This window comes from Homo sapiens, chromosome 12 (genome assembly GCF_000001405.40).
Source record: "Homo sapiens chromosome 12, GRCh38.p14 Primary Assembly".
NCBI lineage: Eukaryota > Metazoa > Chordata > Mammalia > Primates > Hominidae > Homo > Homo sapiens.
This window is the reverse complement of record NC_000012.12, coordinates 102,472,325-102,492,981: the sequence shown is the minus strand read 5'-3', so window position 1 is coordinate 102,492,981 and position 20,657 is coordinate 102,472,325. Positions and strand designations below refer to the sequence as shown.

Below are 20,657 nucleotides of genomic sequence, written 5' to 3'. Positions count from 1 at the left end.
TGAGGATATTATCCAGGAGAACTTCCCCAACCTAGCAAGACAGGCAAACACTCAAATTCAGGAAATACAGAGAACACCACAAAGATACTTCTCGAGAAGAGCAACCCCAAGATACATAATTGTCAGATTCACCAAGGTTGAAATGCAGGAAAAAATGTTAAGGGCAGACAGAGAGAAAGGTTGGGTTACCCACAAAGGGGAGCCCATCAGACTAAGACCAGATCTCTTTGCAGAAAACCTACAAGCCAGAAGAAAGTGGGGGCCAATATTCAACATTCTGAAAAAAAAAGAATTTTCAACCCAGAATTTCATATCCAGCCAAACTAAGCTTCATAAGTGAAGGAGAAATAAAATCCTTTACAGACAAGCAAATGCTAAGGGATTTTGTCGCCAGCAGGCCTGCCTTATAAGAACTCCTGAAGGAAGCACTAAATGTGTAAAGGAAAAACTGGTACCTTAAAGATCATCAACACTATGAAGAAACTGCACCAGCTAATGGGCAAAATAAGCAGCTAACATCATAATGATAGGTTCAAATTCACACATAACAATATTAACCTTATATGTAAATGGGCTAAATGCCCCAATTAAAAGGCACAGACTGGCAAATTGGATAAAGAGTCAAGACCCACCAGTGTGCTGTATTCAGGAGACCAATCTCACATGCAAACACACACAGGCTCAAAATAAAGGGATGGAGGAAGATTTACCAAGCAAATGGAAAGCAAAAAAAAAGCAGAGGTTGCAATCCTAGTCTCTGATAAAACAGACTTTAAACCAACAAAGATCAAAAAAGACAAAGGGTATTACATAATGGTAAAGGGATCAATGCAACAAGAAGAACTAACTATCCTAAATACACCACACAATAATAGTAGGAGAGTTTAACTCCCCACTGTGAATATTAGACAAATCAGTGAGACAGAAAATTAGCAAGGATATTCAGGACTTGAACTCAGCTCTGGACCAAGTGGACCTAATAGACATCTACAGAACTCTCCACCCCAAATCAACAGAATATACATTCTTCTCAGCACCACATCACACTTATTCTAAAACTGACCACATAATTGGAAGTAAAACACTCCTCAGCAAATGCAAAAGAATAGAAATCATAACAAACAGTCTCTCGGACCACAGTGCAATCAAATTAGAACTCAGGATCAAGAAACTCACTCAAAACTTCACAACTACATAAAAACTGAACAACCTACTCCTTAATGAATACTGGGTAAATAACAAAATGAAGGCAGAAATAAATAAGTTCTTTGAAACCAATGAGAGCAAAGACACAATGTACCAGAATCTCTGGGACACAGCTAAAGCAAGGTTTCGAGGGAAATTTATAGCACTAAATGCCCACAGGAAAGAGGAGAAAAGATCAAAAATTGACACCCTAATATCAAAATTAAAAGAACTAGAGAAGCAAGAGCAAACAAATTCAAAAGCTAGCAGAAGACACGAAATAACTAAGATCAGAGCAGAACTGAAAGACATAGAGACACGAAAAACCCATCAAAAAAATCAATGAATCCAGGAGCTGGTTTTTTGAAAGATTAACAAAATAGATAGACTGTTAGCCAGACTAATAAGGAAGAAAAGAGAGAAGAATCAAATAGACACAATAAACAATAATAAAGGGGATATCACCACTGATCCTACAGAAATACAAACTACCATCAGATAATGCTATAAACATCTCTATGCAAACAAACTAGAAAATCTAGAAGAAATGGATAAATTGCTGGACACATACACCCTGCCAAGACTAAACCAGGAAGAAGTCGAATCCCTGAATAAACCAATAACAAGTACTGAAATTGAGGCAGTAATTAATAGCCTACCAACTAAAAAAATCTCAGGACCAGATGGATTCACAGCCAAATTCTTCCAGAGGTACAAAGAGGAGCTGGTACCATTCCTTCTGAAACTATACCAAACAAGAGAAAAAGAGGGACTCCTCCCTAACTCATTTTATGAAGCCAGCATCATTCTGATACCAAAACCTGGCACAGACACAACAAAAAAAGAAAATTTCAGGCCAATATCCCTGATGAACGTCAATGCAAAAATCCTCAATAAAATACTAGCAAACCGAATCCAGCAGCACATCAAAAAGCTTATCCATGATGACCAAGTCAGCTTCATCCCTGGGATGCAAGGCTGGTTCAGCATATGCAAACCAATAAACATAATCCATCACATAAACAGAACCGATGACAAAAACCACATGATTATCTCAAGAGATGCAGAAAAGTCCTTCAATAAAATTCAACAGCCCTTCATGCTAAAAACTCTCAATAAACTAGGTATCAGTGGAACATATCTCAAAATAGTAAGTGCTAATTATGACAAACCCACAGCCAATATCATACTGAATGGGCAAAAGCTGGAAGCATTCCCTCTGAAAACCAGCACAAGACAAATATGCCCTCTCTCAGCACTCCTATCCAACACATTATTGGACATTCTGGCCAGGGCAATCAAGCAAGAGAAAGAAACAAAGCATATTCAAATGGGAAGAGAGGAAGTCAAATTGTTTGTAGATGACATGATTGTGTATTAAGAAAACCCCATCATCTCAGCCCCAAATCTCCTTAAGCTGATAAGCAACTTCAGCAAAGTCTCAGGATACAAAGTCAATGTGCAAAATTCACAAGCATTCCTATACACCAATAACAGACAAACAGAGAGCCAAATCATGAGTGAACTCCCATTAGCAATTGCTACAAAGAGAATAAAATACCTAGAAATACAACTAACAAGGGATGTGAAGGACCTCTTCAAGGAGAACTACAAACCACTGCTCAAGGAAATCAGAGAGGACACAAACAAATGAAAAAATATTCTATGCTCATGGATAGGAAGAATCAATATTGTGAAAATGGTCATACTGCCCATAGTAATTTATAGATTCAATGCTATTCCCATCAAGGTACCATTGACTTTCTTCACAGAATTAGAAAAAAAAAAACTACTTTAAATTTCATATGGAACCAAAAAAATGCCCGTGTAGCCAAGACAATCCTAAGCAAAAGGAACAAAGTGGAGGCATCATGCTACCTGACTTTAAACTACACTACAAGGCTACAGTAACCAAAACAGCATGGTACTGGTACCAAAACCGATAAATAGTCCAATGGAACAGAACAGAGGCCTCAGAAATAGTGCCACACATCTACAACCATCTGATCTTTGACAAACCTGCAATGGAGGTTTTTGTCCTGACAAAAACAAGCAATGGAGAAAGGGTTCCCTATTTAATAAATGGTGCTGGGAAAACTGGCTAGCCATATGCAGGAAACTGAAACTGGACCCCTTCCTTATACCTTATACAAAAATTAACTCAAGATGAATTAACAACTTAAATGGAAGACTTAAAACCATAAAAATCTTAGAAGAAAACCTAGGCAATACTATTCAGGACATAGGCATAGGCAAACACTCCATAACTAAAACACCAAAAGCAATTGCAACAAAAGCCAAGATTGACAAATGGGATCTAATTAAACTAAAGAGTTTCTGCACAGCAAAAGAAACTATCATCAGAGTGAACAGGCAACCTACAGAATGGGAGAAGATTTTTGCAACGTATCCATCTGACAAAGGGCTAATATCCAGAATCTACAAAGAACTTAAACAAATTTACAAGAAAAAAACAAACAACCCCATCAAAAAGTGGGCAAAGGATATGAACAGACACTTTTCAAAAGAAGACATTTATGTGGCCAAAAAATATATGAAAAAAGCTCTTCATCACTGGTCATTAGAGAAATGCAAATCAAAACCACAATGAGATACCATCTCATGCCAGTTAGAATGGCGATCATTAAAAAGCCAGGAAACAACAGATGCTGAAGAGGATTTGGAGAAATAGAGGAAATGCTTTTACACTGTTGATGGGAGTGTAAATTAGTTCAACCATTGTGGAAGACAGTGTGGCAATTCTTCAAGGATCTAGAACCAGAAATACAATTTGACCCAGCAATCCCATTACTGGGTATATACCCAAAGGATTATAAATCATGCTACTATAAAGACACATGCACACGTATGTTTATTGTGGCAGTATTCACAATAGCAAAGACTTGGAACCAACCCAAATACCCATCAATGATAGACTGGATAAAGAAAATATGGCACATACATACCATAGAATACTATGCAGCCATAAAAAAGAATGAGTTCATGTTCTTTGCAGGGACATCATTCTCCGCAAACTAACACAGGAACAGAAAACCAAATGTCGCATGTTCTCACTTATATGTGGGAGTTGAACAATGAGAACACATGGGCACAGGGATGGGAACATCACACACCAGGGCCTTTCTGGCGTGGGAGGCTAGGGGAGGGATAGCATTAGGAGAAATACTTAATATAGATGACAGGTTGATGGGTGCAGCAAACCACCATGGCACATGTATACCTATGTAACAAACCTGCACCGTCCACACATGTATTCCAGAACTTAAAGTATAATTTAAAAAATACACATCCACATAAACACACATGTATATGCTACATTTTCAGTCAACACTAAGAACAGATGGTACAAAGAGCACCTATCAATCATGTTTCCAATCATTGTTTTGGGAGACTTTTCCTGACTGTAAAATACCTGCTTAAGGTAAAAAAAAAAAATGCAAAAAAGTATTAGAGGTGCTAAAAATCACTTGCCTCATGCTACACAAAGGTTCATAGTCCCACATAGGGTCAGGCACAGAGTCAGTCTCTAGAGGCATAAACATGTTGTAAAAGCTCTCTCTCATTGTTGCTAAAGGGCAGGAAATCATCCCAACTCAAATATCACCTTAGGCTTGAAACTTCTCTCCATTGGTCTAAACAGCTAACTTTCTTATGAGGGAATGAGTGTACTTCTTATTATCTAGAGAAACTAAGCACAGGTGCCTATTTTTGTATTTGTTTGCATGTGTTTGAGTGCTGTGTGCGTTCTAGAATAAGACAAAAAAAAACCCACTGTTTATTTTCTTGTTGCCAATGAGTGTCATCTTCATACAATATTAATGACACAGCCAAGTCAAGTGGTCACAACTTCTCTTTGGAAATGATCAAGAAACAGTAAGTGCAGGAGCCACAGGTGAAAGAAAAATGAGTAAGAAAACTTAGAATTGGAAAATATAATTTATTAACTTGGGTTTTCTTTTTTGCCACTTGGAAAATAGTATTATTACTACTCAGTTTTAGTGAGGGAGGACCAGTGAGCGCACCTTTTGAGAGGCACTGATACGATGGTTAATTTTATGTGTCCACTTAGCTAGGCCACAGTACCCAAATACTTTGTCAAGCATCATTGTACATGTCTCTGTGACTTTTTAAGGTGAGATTAACATGTAAGTCAGTAGACTTTGAGCAAAGGAGATTACCTCCATAATGCGAGTGGTCTCATCTAATCAGTTGAAGGCCTTAATAAAAAGAGACTGACCTCTTCCTCAGAAGAAGAAATTCTGCTAGCAGACTGCCTTTGCTCCCCTCCCTGGTTCTCCAGCCTGCTGGTCTACCCTGCAGACTTTGACTTTCCAAGCTGCCACAATCATGTGAGCCAATTCCCTAAAATAAACCTCTCTATATATACTTGTATACATCCTGTTGATTTTGGTTCTCTGGAGAACCATGACTAATACAACTGGGCTTAACATTTTATCTGGAGCTCCGAAAGAAGCTGAGGTCTTCACCAAGGTATTATGAAAGGAGCAAAGGGTGTCCTAAGAATATCTGAGTGTCTGCAAGGTGTTTAACTCGTGTTAAAGGGTTTGTGCTGGGCAGAGGACAAGGTACTTTTTTTTTTTTTTTTTTTTTTTGAGATGGAGTTTTTCTCTCGTTGCCCAGGCTGGAGCACAATGGCACGATCTTGGCTCACCACAACCTCTGCCTCCTGGGTTCAAGCGATTCTCCTGCCTCAGCCTCCCGAGTAGCTGGGATTACAGGCACCCGCCACCACACCCCGCTAATTCTTTTTGTATTTTTAGTAGAGATGGGGTTTCACCATGTTGGTCAGGCTGGTCTTGAACTCCCGACCTCAGGTGATCCGCCCGCTTCTGCCTCCCAAAGCACTGGGATTACAGGCTTGAGCCACAGCACCCAGACAGGACAAGATACTATTTTGAAGGGTATGTGCTTCCCAGGTAGAGCATTACAAAGGGCTCTTCTGGATGCAGCATCCCCGCTGCAATTGAGTGTCCTAACTTCTGTTTATAAAGGGGACCCCAACAGGAAGCACCCTGAGAAGTTTCCCCAGTTAGCCACCTTGAGGTAAAAGATTGAGTCTGGGGCTCCATGCCCTGCTTTCACGGAGCATAATAAAACTTCCTTAATCAGCCCACATGAAGTATGTGATGCTCTGATGAACCTGCATTCCTAGAGAGTTCACTGCTCCCCAGAAACAAGATCTTGCCTCAACTCTTACAGTGAAAAATCTTTATCAAGTGTAATCATTAAAATCTACCTCCCAAAGTATAAACACTGCAATTAAGCTTTACAAATGGAATATCTGGAAAGGTGAATAGATGATCAATAGGTACCTCAGTTCTTACCCAGGCCTGCCTCTTGTGGGCCTAGGCTCTGATGTAACCCACGTCTGCTATTACATATTTACCTTGAGGCACTGTGCCATTCCCAGAGTTAATCACAGACTTAGTTACACACAAATCTTTGTGTACAAGGGAACATGAGGAAATTAAGACTGTTTTCAAGTCATCCAACTGTGTGAAGGAGGCTACTGACGGGGAGTGGGAGGTAAAAGGGTTCCACAGGTAGGACTCTGAGCTCACAGCCACAGCCTCATCTCCCACATCCCCCCATCACTGTGAACTTTCTCATGCCTACGTAAGTTTGCTCATGCTGTTCCCTCTGCCTGGAATAGCCTTTATCATTGTTTTTCCATCTTGGTGGTGAATTCATGCTTCAAGGCCTAACTCAGATGCTTTTCTGTCTGCCAACCCCTCTTCAACATTTCCAGTCTCTATGAAAGACTGAAGTGAAAAATGAGTGAGCTTAATGGAGATCAAAATTATCTAGAAATGTAATTAATGCATTTATATGGTGGCATCTTTTTATGTAGAGGGTCTTTGTTCCCTGTCTTTATGTTGTGGCTATGTATTTGTTTTTCTAACACAATGACATGTTATTGTAGTGATTTCCAAACATCAGGGTTTCAAACACCACCTACAATTGTGTGTCATAACGGTCGGCCACCTGTCAAATTATTTACTTACTTTAAATATATATGTTTTTCTTGACTTGATGTTCTTAAGACTTATATACATACATTTTAAAACTAAACTTTAAAATATCTTTTTTAAATATAGCATCATTTGCCTTAAATAGAAGTTTTGCTTAAAAGCAAATTCCATAAAAACAAAATAGGAACTTCTGTCTGGAAAGATTTTGGACTTGAGATTCACTTTTTGGTTGTTAAAACGAGAGGTTTTTGCAACACAAAGGATAAATGTTTGAGGGGATGGATACCCAATTCTCCATGATGTGTTTATTTCACATTTCATGCCTGTATCAAAATATCTCACGTGTCCCATAAATATATATACCTACTACATACCCACAAAAATTAAAAATTAAATTAAAAAATAAAATAAAGAGAGACTAATGAGTGCTAGGGAAGCACTGAAGACAGACTAGCGCCAAACTGAGACTTTCTCCTTTGGAGATTCAGGATCAGAAAGGGAATTGTAAATGGAATCATCTCTATACTTAAGTGATTCTTTAACGCCACGTCTTTGACCAGGGGTGTTATAACCCACATTTTGAAAACTAACATGATAGAAATACTGCAGAACAGACAAGGAGACTGGGTTTGAATTCTATTTTGTGAGCACCTAAATTTGTCTTGCTTCTCGAGAAGTCATTTTTCTATCCTCCAACAGCCCCTCTTCCTGGTCTTATTTTTCTTATAAAATGAGGAGGTTGGTTATTTTACTCTTAAAGAGTTTGTGCAATTTTTATATTTTACCTTTATCATCATTTGTTTTCCAGACTTGCATTCATTCAACAAAATGTTTTGAGCTCATGCACCCGGAGTTAAGTGCTGGGAATATGGCCATGAGGAATCCATCCATGCCCTGATGAAGTTTATGATCTTTCTTTCCCCCTTATCAATCTTCCCCTTTTTAAACTACAGTGAGTTGAACATCTATCTTACTTATTTCAAAAGACTTAATAAAACTAAAGATAAGTGTAGCTTAAAATGTATTTAAATCCAGAGCTTTCAAAAAAAAAACCCACTCCTGCCAGAACGCATCCACGGTCAAGAGTGCAGTGGCAGTTTCTCAGAAGTCCACTAGAGGGCGCGCACATTTTTTTATTCCCCAAGAAAGCATTTATGTGGGTCCTGCCCCTGAAGTTTGGCGTTGGTGTCTCTTTTCCCCACATTTTATGCAACGTGGGGCAAGCGTGACGAGTCCTCAAGTTCTCTCACTCCACCAACCCATCCTTACCCCATGCCGTGACTTCTCCTCTGCCATAACGAAGAATTACTTTGCTCACACAACCACAACAGTTTCGTTTCTGTTTCCAGTATTTGCCCTTTTGACATTTTAGAAGAAATAAGATCCAAGTTTGATGTTGAAAAGAAAGCATTGATTTCTTTAGTGAGAGGATTTCTCCTCCCTATTTCTGTTTTCCCTAGTCGTGGGCGAAACACTTCTTTAAGGAGTTAGAGCAGCTCCTTTGAGCAAATCTTCCTGGGGAATCACAGGAATCTTTCTGAGCAGATGTTTTGGAGCTGACATTAGGCCCCTTGCTCGGCAGCATGTTGAGTTTTTGAGGCCCTGTCTTTCCTCTGAGTTTTATATTCTGAATTGACAAGTTCTTGACCTCCAACATTAGTTTGAGCAACCCATGACCAACCCTCCTCACAAACCATGATCCAAAAGAAACATCCAATAGTTTCCCCCAAGTTCTTTGCCTGGTGGTTGCCCTAGAACCTTAAGCCTCACCCTTTATTTGATTCCAAAATTCCCTTACCTCCAAATGTCCATTCTGAGCTTTCCTTGGGAGTAAGCAAAGACATTCATGAAATAAATTGTAAATATGCCCTATTGTACATGGATATGAAATTACCTTTTGGATGAACGCCTCTCCAGTTAACACAGGAAAGACTGGGAACATGGCTTGAGAAGAAAAAAAAAGTTGGGGGGAAGACAGGGAGGGCCTCCTTGCCCACCCCACCCCTGCTTTCTGTGTACCTTAGCCAGCTCACCCTTTAAGGAAATGAACAATTTTTTCTGTGTGTGTGCGAAAGGTGTCAGAAGTTTTCTGAGGCTGTAGCTTTATGCAAATATGCTACTCAAGAAGAAGGCTTTAGGGGAGAGTTATTTATATCCCACAGGCATTACACATGCAAAAGGTGAAACTGTGAATCTCTGAATTTCCAGGAGTGGATGTTCTTATGATAAGCACATCCTTGCGGTTAGCTATTTTGGTGGCCATATCTCACTGTCAGATTTTTGCAGGCAGGAGACTACATAATCATTCCATACTTTTATAATGACCCTAGATGTTTCTCTCCAATGGGACTTCATAACCTGAACTCCTCTTGGGCTTTAGATTTACTACTACCTTGGATTTGTAGTAATAGGTGCATTCATTTCTTTTACTCCTAAACAGGTACATCACTTAGCCATTAAAAAGTAATCTGGTGGCATGTTTATTGCTCTTTCATTTTCATATTGACTCCTGGAATTAGCCAAGAAAATGACCTTTTCTCTAGGAATTATTGCCCTGATCCATTGCTGGCTCACCCTGTCCAAAAATATAGACCATTCTCCAAATTGAAATATACATTAATCACCTCAGGAAATTGCTTCCCCCATTGGAAACTGATAGCTCTCATTGGAATGTTTCCAAAGCACAGCTGATGACAATTACGACTCACTGAAATTTCAGTTTTCTTTGATTGTGACATAAAAACTAGGACATAAATTAAAACCTAATTATCCTTTAAGGGTAATTGGGGTTACAAAACCGAGAGACTGTGAGTCAGTGTGTCAATATCGCTGGAGTACAGCATCTGTCCCCAAAACAGCCTTTCATATGAAATGCTTGTGGATAAGGTTATATCTGTGCACCGAGCATGCCAAGAGAGAACATCAAAATGGGTGATAGACTTGGAGACATATAGTTAGCTTCTAGGACATCTTGGAACAATTAAAGTATGCTAAAACTGCAGTGGGAAGGGGTTAAACAAAGTCCTGGCCTTCACCTGTAATGGTGTCCAATGTTGGAACAAGAACTTAGCACCAAGACTCCAGCCAGTATCTGACTCTCCAAACTTGGTTAAAGAGGTTTTTTCTCATCTGGAAGACAGGTGAGATCAGCTCTATTGTTTTATACAATCTACATCCTCAAAGTCTGTAAGAGAATAGACATTTTTCAGAAAGGGTGTGATCCACAAAAACTGCAGAAAAGAAAAAGATTTGTCACAAATCAAGTGTACAAAGAGAGCTTATTAAAGGAAGCCACGGATTATTATTAAATGCAGGGATTACTCACACATCTGCACATGTGGATAATCCCTGCATTAAGAATAATCCAGGGCCACCTACTAGGCCACCTCTTGATGATACCTCTTAGTGTGCTCTTTGGGTCAAATCCCACCCACTGAAATTTCCCAACATGGTACCCCAAAGCCTCTCATGACACAATCTGCCTCCCTCATTTTGGATTTTCCAAAAGATTTTACTCCCCTGTCTTCCCAGAGAATGTGTCACTCCCTCTCATTGTGCACTGTTCATGTTTTTAAAAGAGCACATGCCCATCATATGACTGTGAAGTTTTCCTCTTTGTCTCTGACATTCAGCTGAAAGCCCCTGAAGGGACTTGACCATATCTTATTCCTCTTTGTTTTCCTAGGGATGTTGTAGTTGGGCACATAGTAGAGCTCACAAAATGTTGCTGAACATAGTGCACCATTGACACAACATAATTCCAGATTTCTAACTTTGATTTCTGAAAGGTAAACATTGCTACAATGTATTAACCACACAGAAGACTCAAACAAACCCAACCCCCTTCCAAACAAAGCAGGTTTGTTTGTTTTTTGTTAGGGCACCCACTTCTACAAACAAATTTCTGGCCCCAGGATAACACAAAGAGCCAGAGTAGGATTTCAAGCAGAACTGTGTTTTCAGTTGATGTGTCAGTCCCCTGAGAGTCATGTGGAAAAAAAAAAAAAGAAAAAATTCAAGGTCCAGGTTATTTCCACCACTCCTGGGAAACCAGGCCTGGAGAGCTCTCTAGGGAAAGAGGTATGTCTGCTCTGGGCTTTTGCAACCTTATTTTATAATTCACTTTCTTATCTACTGCTTCACAAAACCAAAGGGAAATAGGTACAAACTGTATCGACAAAAGATCAGAACTGAATTCTCAATGGCAAAGGCAAGTGTACATTATAAATAGCAAAACAGCTGGCTTGGACCATGTTGCCGGCCAGTCACCCAGTTGAGGGATTTGAATGACATCATAACCCTCGAGAGGGTATTGCTAGCCAGCTGGTGTTATTTAGAATACACAAAAATCAGAGAAAGAAAACACACTCTGGCACACAGACTCCCTCTGTCATACACACACACACACACACACACACACACACACACACACACAGGTTTGAGTTATATGGAAAATTCAAACAACAGGAAAATTGTTTGCCCCCCAGGTACCCTTCTCCCAGAGTGGTGGGGTGGGGAGGGGACAGTGACAGGCAGCCTAGTAGAAGAATAAAGAAAAATGTTCTATTTCAGTTGGGTTTTACAGCTCGGCATAGTCTTTGCCTCATCGCAGGAGAAAAAGTATGAGACAGTGCCCTAAAGGGACCAATCCAATGCTGCCTGCCCCTCCATAGGTTCTAGGAAATGAGATCACACCTCTCACTTGGCAACTGGGACAAGGGGTCACCCGAGTGCTGTCTTCCAATCTACTTTACCCCAGTCACTTCAGGGTTAAAATTGTAGAGTTTGCTGGAGAGGGTCTTATCGTCCTTTCTTTCTTTTTTTGTTTTAAATAATGCATTTGCTCTAGAATCTAAAATTGCTCTCCCATCCCCCATATTCCTTTAATACTGGTAAGGTGTATTAGCAGACGTTTGTGTCTTCATGCCCAGCAGAAAGTTAATCAGAAAACAGATCCTTATTTTCTATGGCAGCATAAGTATTTTAATGTCTGCGAACCCTGTCACTAACACACATTCTTTTAAGGGAAAAAAATGCTTCTGTGCTCTAGTTTTAAAATGCAAAGGTATGATGTTATTTGTCACCATGCCCAAAAAAGTCCTTACTCAATAACTTTGCCAGAAGAGGGAGAGAGAGAGAAGGCAAATGTTCCCCCAGCTGTTTCCTGTCTACAGTGTCTGTGTTTTGTAGATAAATGTGAGGATTTTCTCTAAATCCCTCTTCTGTTTGCTAAATCTCACTGTCACTGCTAAATTCAGAGCAGATAGAGCCTGCGCAATGGAATAAAGTCCTCAAAATTGAAATGTGACATTGCTCTCAACATCTCCCATCTCTCTGGATTTCTTTTTGCTTCATTATTCCTGCTAACCAATTCATTTTCAGACTTTGTACTTCAGAAGCAATGGGAAAAATCAGCAGTCTTCCAACCCAATTATTTAAGTGCTGCTTTTGTGATTTCTTGAAGGTAAATATTTCTTACTCTTTGAAGTCATTGGGGAATTCTATTTAAATTGTGTACTGTTTGCTTCTGCCTAGAACTGTTCTTCACTTTAAAATTTTCATTGTTTCGGAACCGAGAGTTATTTATAAATTGCTGAATATGCAATTCTGTGGAATCTGAAAAATAGCTCGGGGAGATGGATGCATTTGCACAGATATCTGTATGAGTAGAAACTATTGCAAGGTACTTATGCTAAATCCTCCACTTCTGCAGGGCTTCCGTGGTGTCATTACAGAAGATTCCTTTAAATCCTCTCTATGGCTAAGGGCTATAGAGCATGGATATGAACTTGGGGATTTTTTTTTTCTTTTGCAGGTGCAGATGTTTTATTTTTAAGACCATGTTCTTTTGCATGTGTGTATGTGTCTCTGTGTGTATGTGTCTCTGTGTGTGTAACTCATCAGGACTTTATTTACAAGGCATGCTATATATGAAGGGTTGTATTTTAGATGATATTAAAGCTTTTAAATATGATCTTTGGAGCTAAGGTCCCGGAACTCTGCACTTATGCCCAGAGAGAGTGTTAAAGTTAGAGTAAAGTGTAATTTGTTCTTCCAAAAAAGAACTCCTTGACAACTCTTGCTGACCTTGCATATTTGTATAATTTAAACAAATACATACTGTATATGGAAAGCAGAAACTTTCTAAGAGCTGCTTGCCCAACTTTTCTGTTTAGAAGAGGACTTTCATGGGCAAAGTTTGGACTTGGGGTTCTGTGTTATAAAACTCTGATTTTATATTCAGTGTCGTGAAGTCCCTTTAGGTAAATCTGGCTGCTGCTGTCAGTGCACCGACTTCTCGTTTCCGATTGCTGGCCGTAGTTCTAGTTTCCATTCTCAGCAAAATTATATCCTTCAAGACTTGTGTTTTTTTTTCAATTTGCAAGCGCTTTTAAGCTGCTGTCACTGGCTCCACCGATTCAATTGCCTGAGGGCTCAATTCATAAGACGTCTCTGCCACTTAGTGCAGCATTCAGTTGCTGCTTTCAAACACTTCACCACTACGACTTTCCCTAGTCAAGTAAGTGGCTCCAGGAGTTAAAGATACACCCTTGTCAGGCACCTGATTCTGCTGTTCCTGAGATGCCAACACATGCAGGCCACCTTGCTTTCAAAGAAATGACGTCACTGTGCATACATACTATGTGATCTAGCAGCTGGAGTTTTTGTCTCCTTACTTAGGGGATCATAAAAGAGGCTGTGGAGCGTTATCTCTGCATTAATTACAAGTTAAGAAAATTGTTTCCAAATGCACTTTTCATGCTGTGTATGCTGAACACTTCAGAAGTGGAGCTCTTAATAAGTTGTTACTTTTTTCTGTACTTGAAGCAGGAAGTGGTTTGAGGGAGCTGCGTGGTCTTTCACATGTAATTCAGTGGGTAAAGGTGTCCTGCCCAGAGGCAGAGCTCACCAGCTGATTGTACTCTGACTCTCAAGGTATTTCCAAGTGAGTGAGTCGGGGGAAGGGAGTAAGGGAGTGGACTGGAGCTTGGGTCACTATCTGGGCTGCTACAATAGGCATACAATGGAAATAGGTGGCTTGACTGGGGGGAAAAGATTGACTTAAATCCCAGCTGTGCAATTTGTTCATTGTTTCAATGGACAAAAGGCAGTTTACCCAGGCTCATAATAGCATACCTGCCTGGGTGTCCAAATGTAACTAGATGCTTTCACAAACCCCACCCACAAAGCAGCACATGTTTTTAAGACTTCAGTTTTCTATTCACATCGGCCTCATAATACCCACCCTGACCTGCTGTAAAAGACCTGGAACAAACAAAAATGATTACACCTACAGTGAGTATTTTCTTATGACTGTTGCCCTCAAATTTTACAGGGCATTTTCATTGTGGCCCAGACATCTGGAATCAATTAATATTCCATTTATCTAAGATTAAAAAAAAAAGAACTTTTAAAATTTGGGTTTGTGAATGATTTTTGAGAAAGTGTTTTCTGATTTTTTTTTCTTTTTTTCTCATGTCTTTCTGATTCTTCCCTTTTTTTTCTATCATATCTTTCCTTTCTCTCTATTGATTTCTTTTGTGTTTGGCAAAATAAAAGGCCAAGGAAATAATGAACATATGGGACCACTTGTTTCACACTTTAAACTCCTAAGCAAGTTCGGTATTGTTTTCATTTGTGGGAACATAAAATTCTCTGGTTCTCTGTGGGTGTACTGGACTGTTCCCTACACTAAAGGAAAATGCACTAGAGGTTCTGTCTTGTCCTAGAACTGTAAGTACTGAGATTTATCTGACAATATAACTCAGCAAAAAAAAAAAAAAAGAAAAAGAGAAATCTATTTAAAAAAAATCTTAAATTCTTAAGTTCCAGAGACTTATATGTATCGCTGCACTTAAATGTGTTATACTAGAACTATTAAAAATATAGTTTTGACATCTAATGAAGTTTGAAATTCACTAAGGCTATAACTTGAGTAATTTTTTTCCCTGGATTTCACAAAAACTGAAGAACTTGAAGGCATCTACAGTTGCAGGTGCTTAGCCTTCAGCATTGCTATGAACGCAACAAAGAAGGGAGGGGTGGAGAAATAGGATTCGGTAGAATAACATACTTTCTAGAACTGGCCCATTCCCGCAGTGTGGGGGTATGCTCTGCAAGATCAATCACAGGTTTGTTCTTTTGAAAAATGCCACGAGGTCCAGGTGGGTTGGATTTGTTGAGGTTTCCAATGGAAATATTGAACAGGAAAACCCCACTAATTTTACAACCAAAAAAAAAAAAAAATGAGAACTGGATGATAACATGCTTCTTCCAGTCCCAGTGTTTTGGGCTATGTAGGGGGTGGAAGATTTCCATGCGGAGATCTTGTTGAGAAAAATGCAGTAAATGTTCAGTTGAGCTTTTACCTCCTCTTCTATTTTATGTCCATTATTTATGATCATTTGCAAATAGAGGGCGCTTTTCATCTTCAACTGCTTTACAACCATTAACTGAATATTTATATTTTGTTAACGAGAGACAGGGGTTTTGGTTTTTTTTTTTTTTCCTCAGTTGCTGAGGTGAAGGTCTGACTACAAAAAATGGAAATCATCATTAGAATGATGGGGAAAATTTTGCCACTGATATAGAGCCACTAAATTGAGAGTCCATGGAGGGCAAGGAGGGTAGTCAGAAAATAAATGACTGTTTCTCCAAAAGTGATGGGGTTGAATGGACCTGCCACTACTCTGAGGTTCAAAAAAAATGCTCTTCTTATAATTATAGCTTCCAGCATGACTCCACAACCCTTTTAATAGCGCCCCTCACCTAACACCCTGTCAGGGACTCTTCCCATGATGCTGAAAGTAGATGCATCTGAGAGAAGTGAAGCCACTCACCTTGAGAGGCTTCTTGGAAAAAGCCACATCTTTGTGCCACAAGTAACAATATGGAAAAACTTAATGATCATCTTAGCATGGTTTCTACTACTTAGAGTGAGGATGAAGACTTGAGCCACAGGACTGCTGCTTTTGGCAAGGCTGCCGTTTGGCAGTCTATCATTGACTAAGTCATGCCAACCAGGGGTCCCTTGGTATATTTTGCTATAAAATAGATACAGTGACACATAAGTCCCTCCAAGAGATGAAGCCATAATTCCTGTGACTAAAAATAAAATAAAAGATTTTTGCCAGTTTGAGCCCAGTGCCCTATACACAGAAGGGATTCTCAACACGTGTTGATTTGATATTGGACTTGAGGCCAGGGACTTTAGAATACAGGAGTGGTTTCTATTTGAGCCAATTTCATTCTTCGATTCTCATATTTTTTTCTGTTTCTGTTATTTTCTTCTATTTGTGGTTGTGTCAACTGCTGATATGCCCCAGGTAAGGAATCAGTCTCTCTCTCTCTCTCTCTCTCTCTCTCTCTCTCATATTGAGGAAACAAAACAAAAACAAAACCCTGTGATGATATATAGTATTGTCAAAAGCCATTTTTTGGCCATAGTAAATTATTTTTAGTCAAAAATAGGGAATGATGTTTTGGTTAAAAATATTCTGCTCAATAATGAATGCATATACCATCTATGGATGGCCAATATTGAGAGAATTTAAATTAACAAAACTTATTTGGCCCCAAATCTGTACTGAGCACAATTTAACCTTTGATAATTCAAAAGTTCTACCAGGGTCTCAGAGTGATATGGGATCCCACTGTAATAATAGCATCTTTCATTTCCGTAGTAAACGTTTCTAGATATTTTGTCTCAATTCATTGAAATAGGAACCCATAAAGAAAGGGTTCAGGGAGGACTCCTCCAAAGATCCACAGTAGCCAGGGGAATAAACACAGGTTGTTGGATGCCGAGACACGCTCCATCCACAACTCCCTCTGGGTTCTCATGTACTCTATTGGCTTCTGTGCTGGGTAGTCCTGATTAATGACAGTCGTGGAATCGTGGGAGTCAATGCACTTCTGTCCCACCCCACTCCCCTTGCAAGGATCAAGGAGGAAACCTGACCCTCCCTCTGTTTCTTGGGCAGGTGAAGATGCACACCATGTCCTCCTCGCATCTCTTCTACCTGGCGCTGTGCCTGCTCACCTTCACCAGCTCTGCCACGGCTGGACCGGAGACGCTCTGCGGGGCTGAGCTGGTGGATGCTCTTCAGTTCGTGTGTGGAGACAGGGGCTTTTATTTCAGTAAGTAGCCCTCCCTCTCAATGTGCTGCTCAAGTCTAAAGTGTACAGCTCTGTGGATTTACAACCGCAGGGAGTGTGTGAATAACTGAATGAGTGCCCGTATCTGGCAGCCATCCTAGGCCTCTGAGATTCCTCACCTTAAAGTAAGCATAGTGTTTTGGCGGGACTTTGGCAGGTTTTGCAGATCTAGGATGGAATTTTCCTCCTTAACAATTCGTCTTTAACTACTTCCTGCTAAGCCTTCTTTCAACTATTATGATCCACCTCACTATTCCATTCCTTTCAATGAAAGGACAGGACAAAATAACCCTGAGGTATTGATGTTTTTGTTTTCAAAACCTATGGGCGCACATATAAACATATGGAACACATGCAGGGCTGCTTTAAGTGCTATGTGATTTGGAGTAAAATAGTAAGGACTCTCCAGTCATGTGGATCTGGGAAAAAAAATATTAAAGGGCATATCCTAGATGTCTCCATTCAATATGAAATCACCATGAACAGACAGAAGGTTAACTCCCCTTAAAGGCAGGCCTGTTTGCAAATACACAGACTGTCTCTAAATGCAAACTGAAATGCCATACTGATTTGCCCTCTATGCCACTTGACCTTGATTTTTTTGTTGTTGCTCTCTTTTGGCATAGTTCTTCTCCGGGACCCATCAATGATATCACCATCTGGAAAAGGGTCTCTGACAAGTACAGAATCACTTATCTCTTAAATAGCTCTTAGGTGATTAGAAAGTCAACAGCCAGTAAAAAGTAGACAGCCAAGTCAAGGCGTATAAATAATACACACAAGCAAAAGTCAATGATTCCTGTGGGAACTGATCACTTAAAGAATCTAGCTCCCATGCATCTATCTCACTGTATATTATAGGACAGAGAAAGATTTAAAGCCAGATGCTTGTTCCTTATAATTCTTTGGAGTTTTAGAGAGTTCCAGGAAACTGAGCATGAGTCATTCTTAAAGGTTCATATCACTCCAGTGTAGACAGCTTACCTCAGTTACCCACTATGCTTTGAATAGCTCCTGTGATGACTCACACACTTGAAGTCTCTCTCATCCTTCCCAAATGTCAGCCTCTCTCTAGGCAGGTGGGGTATGTGTGTGTATGACTGGCAGGGTAGAGGGTGGCCTGTGTATACCAGTCTGGAGATCAGTAAGGGAGATGGGAAGAAAGAGGCTTGTGAGGGTATTGGCGATCAGTACTTACAGTGGATTTGGCAACAAATAGTTTTTAAATCACTAGTGACAAAGAATCAGAAGTGCCTTCTACTATTTGAATAGGCAAATTCCCACTATTTGCTTCCAGCCAGTCCTTTAATTGAACGAACTCATTTATTTTTCTGGCAATAAAGCAATTCTATCCAGTTCTCTGTTGCAGAGCAGATGAATGAGTGCATTGGGTGAGTGATTTTCCAATAGCAGACTTGTTTTACCTTTAAAATATCCTGTGGAAGATAACTGTGGGACATCACATGATCCAACAGTGGGTCATAATTATTCTATAATTTGCAGCTACTGATCCTCATTTTTTAAAGAAATGAAAAAGTGGTTCTCACTTATTATGCCCAAGGGGACTTTTTTTTTCCTTGATAATCCATTTGTGCAATTTCCTTTGATCCAGTTCACTAGGTAATTGCCAAGCCTAGAAGTGTCCTCTGTTACGTGCCAGGTTGAATTGTGATGTTCAACACGACATTGCTCCAGAATTTCCATGCACAGTGCATGAAAACTGGATCTTTCTATGCCTATGATGTTTGCATTAAATGATGAAAAATTAGAATGGAAAAAATGATTGTTCCTAAGTAACTGTATGATACTTATAAGTGTTTGCACAGACACTTAAGGATATTGGACAACTAAAATGGAAACCAATTTCCAGGTTCTCTTATTCTGTTACTGCAACAATCAAATTTCAGCAAATTTTTAAAAATTGTATCTCAATAACTTGAAAAGGAAATGTTATATATAGCAAATCTTGATTCTTACTATATGACTTTAGCTAGAAAGTGGCTTTGTAAATCATATGTTCTTGTCAGTATTGTCATTGAAAATATGTGTGTCATGAGTTTTGCCTTATAGAATTCCATGACTTATGTTAATCCGACATACCCTCATGCACAGAAGTGTCCAACATACCTTCATGCCCAAAAGTATTCTTGCTAACTTTCTAGTCAACTGGACAATCTTATTTGCCCAAAAGAAATTAGTCCATTTAGATTATTTTCATGTAATTCAAAACATTGATGGAGCATCTGTTATGTGTAAGCATTGAATGAGATATGAATGAGATGCCTAGAAATGAATGAGAGATTGACCTTGTTTTCAAGGGGCTTACAGTTGAGTGGTAAAAGAAAAATGCAACTAAGTATTATTGTCATAAGAGAAAAATAACCATGGAGAATAAATTATATCCTTTATGTTTTTCTTGAATATTTTGGTCTACCCTGCCAAGAATAATACCCTGTCAATGGGCTTCTTGATGCCAAAGGACATATTTATTTACATTTGAATCCAAGTGTCTAGCTCATAGCCTGGATGCTATAGTAGCTGCCCATATTTGATTGTTGAACTGACAGGATTGAATTGAATTGAATTGAGTCTAGTTGAATCCAATCGAATAGAATGGAATTACTTGTTTGGGATCTTGGTCTTAAGAACCATCAAGAATTAAGGTTGTCAAGTACTGTGGACAATACTTCTCACCTCATGGTTATCTAGTTATTTAATAAAACTGCTTTTATTTTTTTTTGAACTGAAAAAATATATACTAACAATGACTTAGAGGCTGCTGCATTTTGGTCATCCCCAGGCTACATTGATGTCTGTTTTGTGTCTGAGCCAATTATTCCTACAGGCATCAATTGTTGTCAACAAATTTCATTCAGTTTCCTTTTCATCCGCTGAGATTTACTGTGTGTGGAGAAGTCAGCTCTAAGCACATAGTCTTTGAAATACTTTTTAGAGGGAAGCATTCTTCCCCACCTCTATACACTGTCAGTTGACTCCTATTATTCTCTTTACACTTATTTTCAAAGTTTTATTGTGGCTGTGACTTTTATTTTAAACTGCTTCAAATCCATTTTGGAAGTACAATTTTTTTAGTAGTAGAAGGCAGTTTCTGATTTTAGTTTGAAATTCAAACATCTAAAAGAAAATTGCCTCCATATCTATCATTTTTGTCAATCTGCAATATTTAACAAGGAGAGTTTTTTTTTAACTCTATTAGAACTGTTCTGAATAAAATATTTTGTAATGCTTACTGTGTGTAGATTGACCCAATGATGTGAATTGAGCTCATATTCCCCTTCA

The 20,657-nt window shown here is 39.2% G+C and overlaps 1 protein-coding gene and 1 long non-coding RNA gene across 11 annotated transcripts in view, besides 6 other annotated features; one reads left to right on the top strand and one right to left on the bottom strand.

Annotated features, from left to right (window-relative positions):
* LINC02456 (long intergenic non-protein coding RNA 2456) overlaps window positions 1-20,657 on the bottom strand; it is a 432,422-nt gene that overhangs the window by 219,014 nt on the left and 192,751 nt on the right. The window contains exon 11 of the long non-coding RNA XR_007063427.1: window positions 9,094-20,657. This exon is cut by the window's right edge and continues 16,538 nt beyond it. This is a non-coding gene — a long non-coding RNA (long intergenic non-protein coding RNA 2456). The remainder of the gene's footprint in view (window positions 1-9,093) is intronic.
* Window positions 8,538-8,597: an enhancer, noted in NCBI's record as "active region_6884". NCBI's record gives its function as "activates an Ori minimal core promoter by ATAC-STARR-seq in GM12878 lymphoblastoid cells {active_cell/tissue: GM12878}" and the evidence as "EXISTENCE:reporter gene assay evidence [ECO:0000049][PMID:35858748]".
* Window positions 9,130-9,189: an enhancer, noted in NCBI's record as "active region_6883". NCBI's record gives its function as "activates an Ori minimal core promoter by ATAC-STARR-seq in GM12878 lymphoblastoid cells {active_cell/tissue: GM12878}" and the evidence as "EXISTENCE:reporter gene assay evidence [ECO:0000049][PMID:35858748]".
* The window catches only part of IGF1 (insulin like growth factor 1), an 85,966-nt gene continuing 76,451 nt past the window's right edge, over window positions 11,143-20,657 (top strand). For 3 of the 10 annotated variants that reach the window (XM_017019263.3, XM_017019262.3, XM_017019259.2), the window contains exons 1-2: window positions 11,143-11,279; window positions 17,183-17,339. In XM_017019263.3, coding sequence (XP_016874752.1) covers window positions 11,166-11,279; window positions 17,183-17,339 — 271 coding nt within the window. In that variant the 5' untranslated portion in view covers window positions 11,143-11,165. Of the gene's footprint in view, window positions 11,280-12,418; window positions 12,664-14,431; window positions 14,496-17,182; window positions 17,340-20,657 lie in introns of those variants that run through there. The other 7 variants (NM_000618.5, NM_001111283.3, NM_001111285.3 and 4 more) reach the window with 3 other exon arrangements.
* Window positions 13,564-13,613: an enhancer, noted in NCBI's record as "active region_6882". NCBI's record gives its function as "activates an Ori minimal core promoter by ATAC-STARR-seq in GM12878 lymphoblastoid cells {active_cell/tissue: GM12878}" and the evidence as "EXISTENCE:reporter gene assay evidence [ECO:0000049][PMID:35858748]".
* Window positions 13,704-13,963: an enhancer, noted in NCBI's record as "active region_6881". NCBI's record gives its function as "activates an Ori minimal core promoter by ATAC-STARR-seq in GM12878 lymphoblastoid cells {active_cell/tissue: GM12878}" and the evidence as "EXISTENCE:reporter gene assay evidence [ECO:0000049][PMID:35858748]".
* Window positions 16,730-17,229: an enhancer, noted in NCBI's record as "H3K4me1 hESC enhancer chr12:102869531-102870030 (GRCh37/hg19 assembly coordinates)". NCBI's record gives its function as "activates a minimal SCP1, AML or CMV promoter by ChIP-STARR-seq in naive H9 embryonic stem cells {active_cell/tissue: H9 hESC(naive)}" and the evidence as "EXISTENCE:reporter gene assay evidence [ECO:0000049][PMID:30033119]".
* Window positions 17,230-17,731: an enhancer, noted in NCBI's record as "H3K4me1 hESC enhancer chr12:102869029-102869530 (GRCh37/hg19 assembly coordinates)". NCBI's record gives its function as "activates a minimal SCP1, AML or CMV promoter by ChIP-STARR-seq in naive H9 embryonic stem cells {active_cell/tissue: H9 hESC(naive)}" and the evidence as "EXISTENCE:reporter gene assay evidence [ECO:0000049][PMID:30033119]".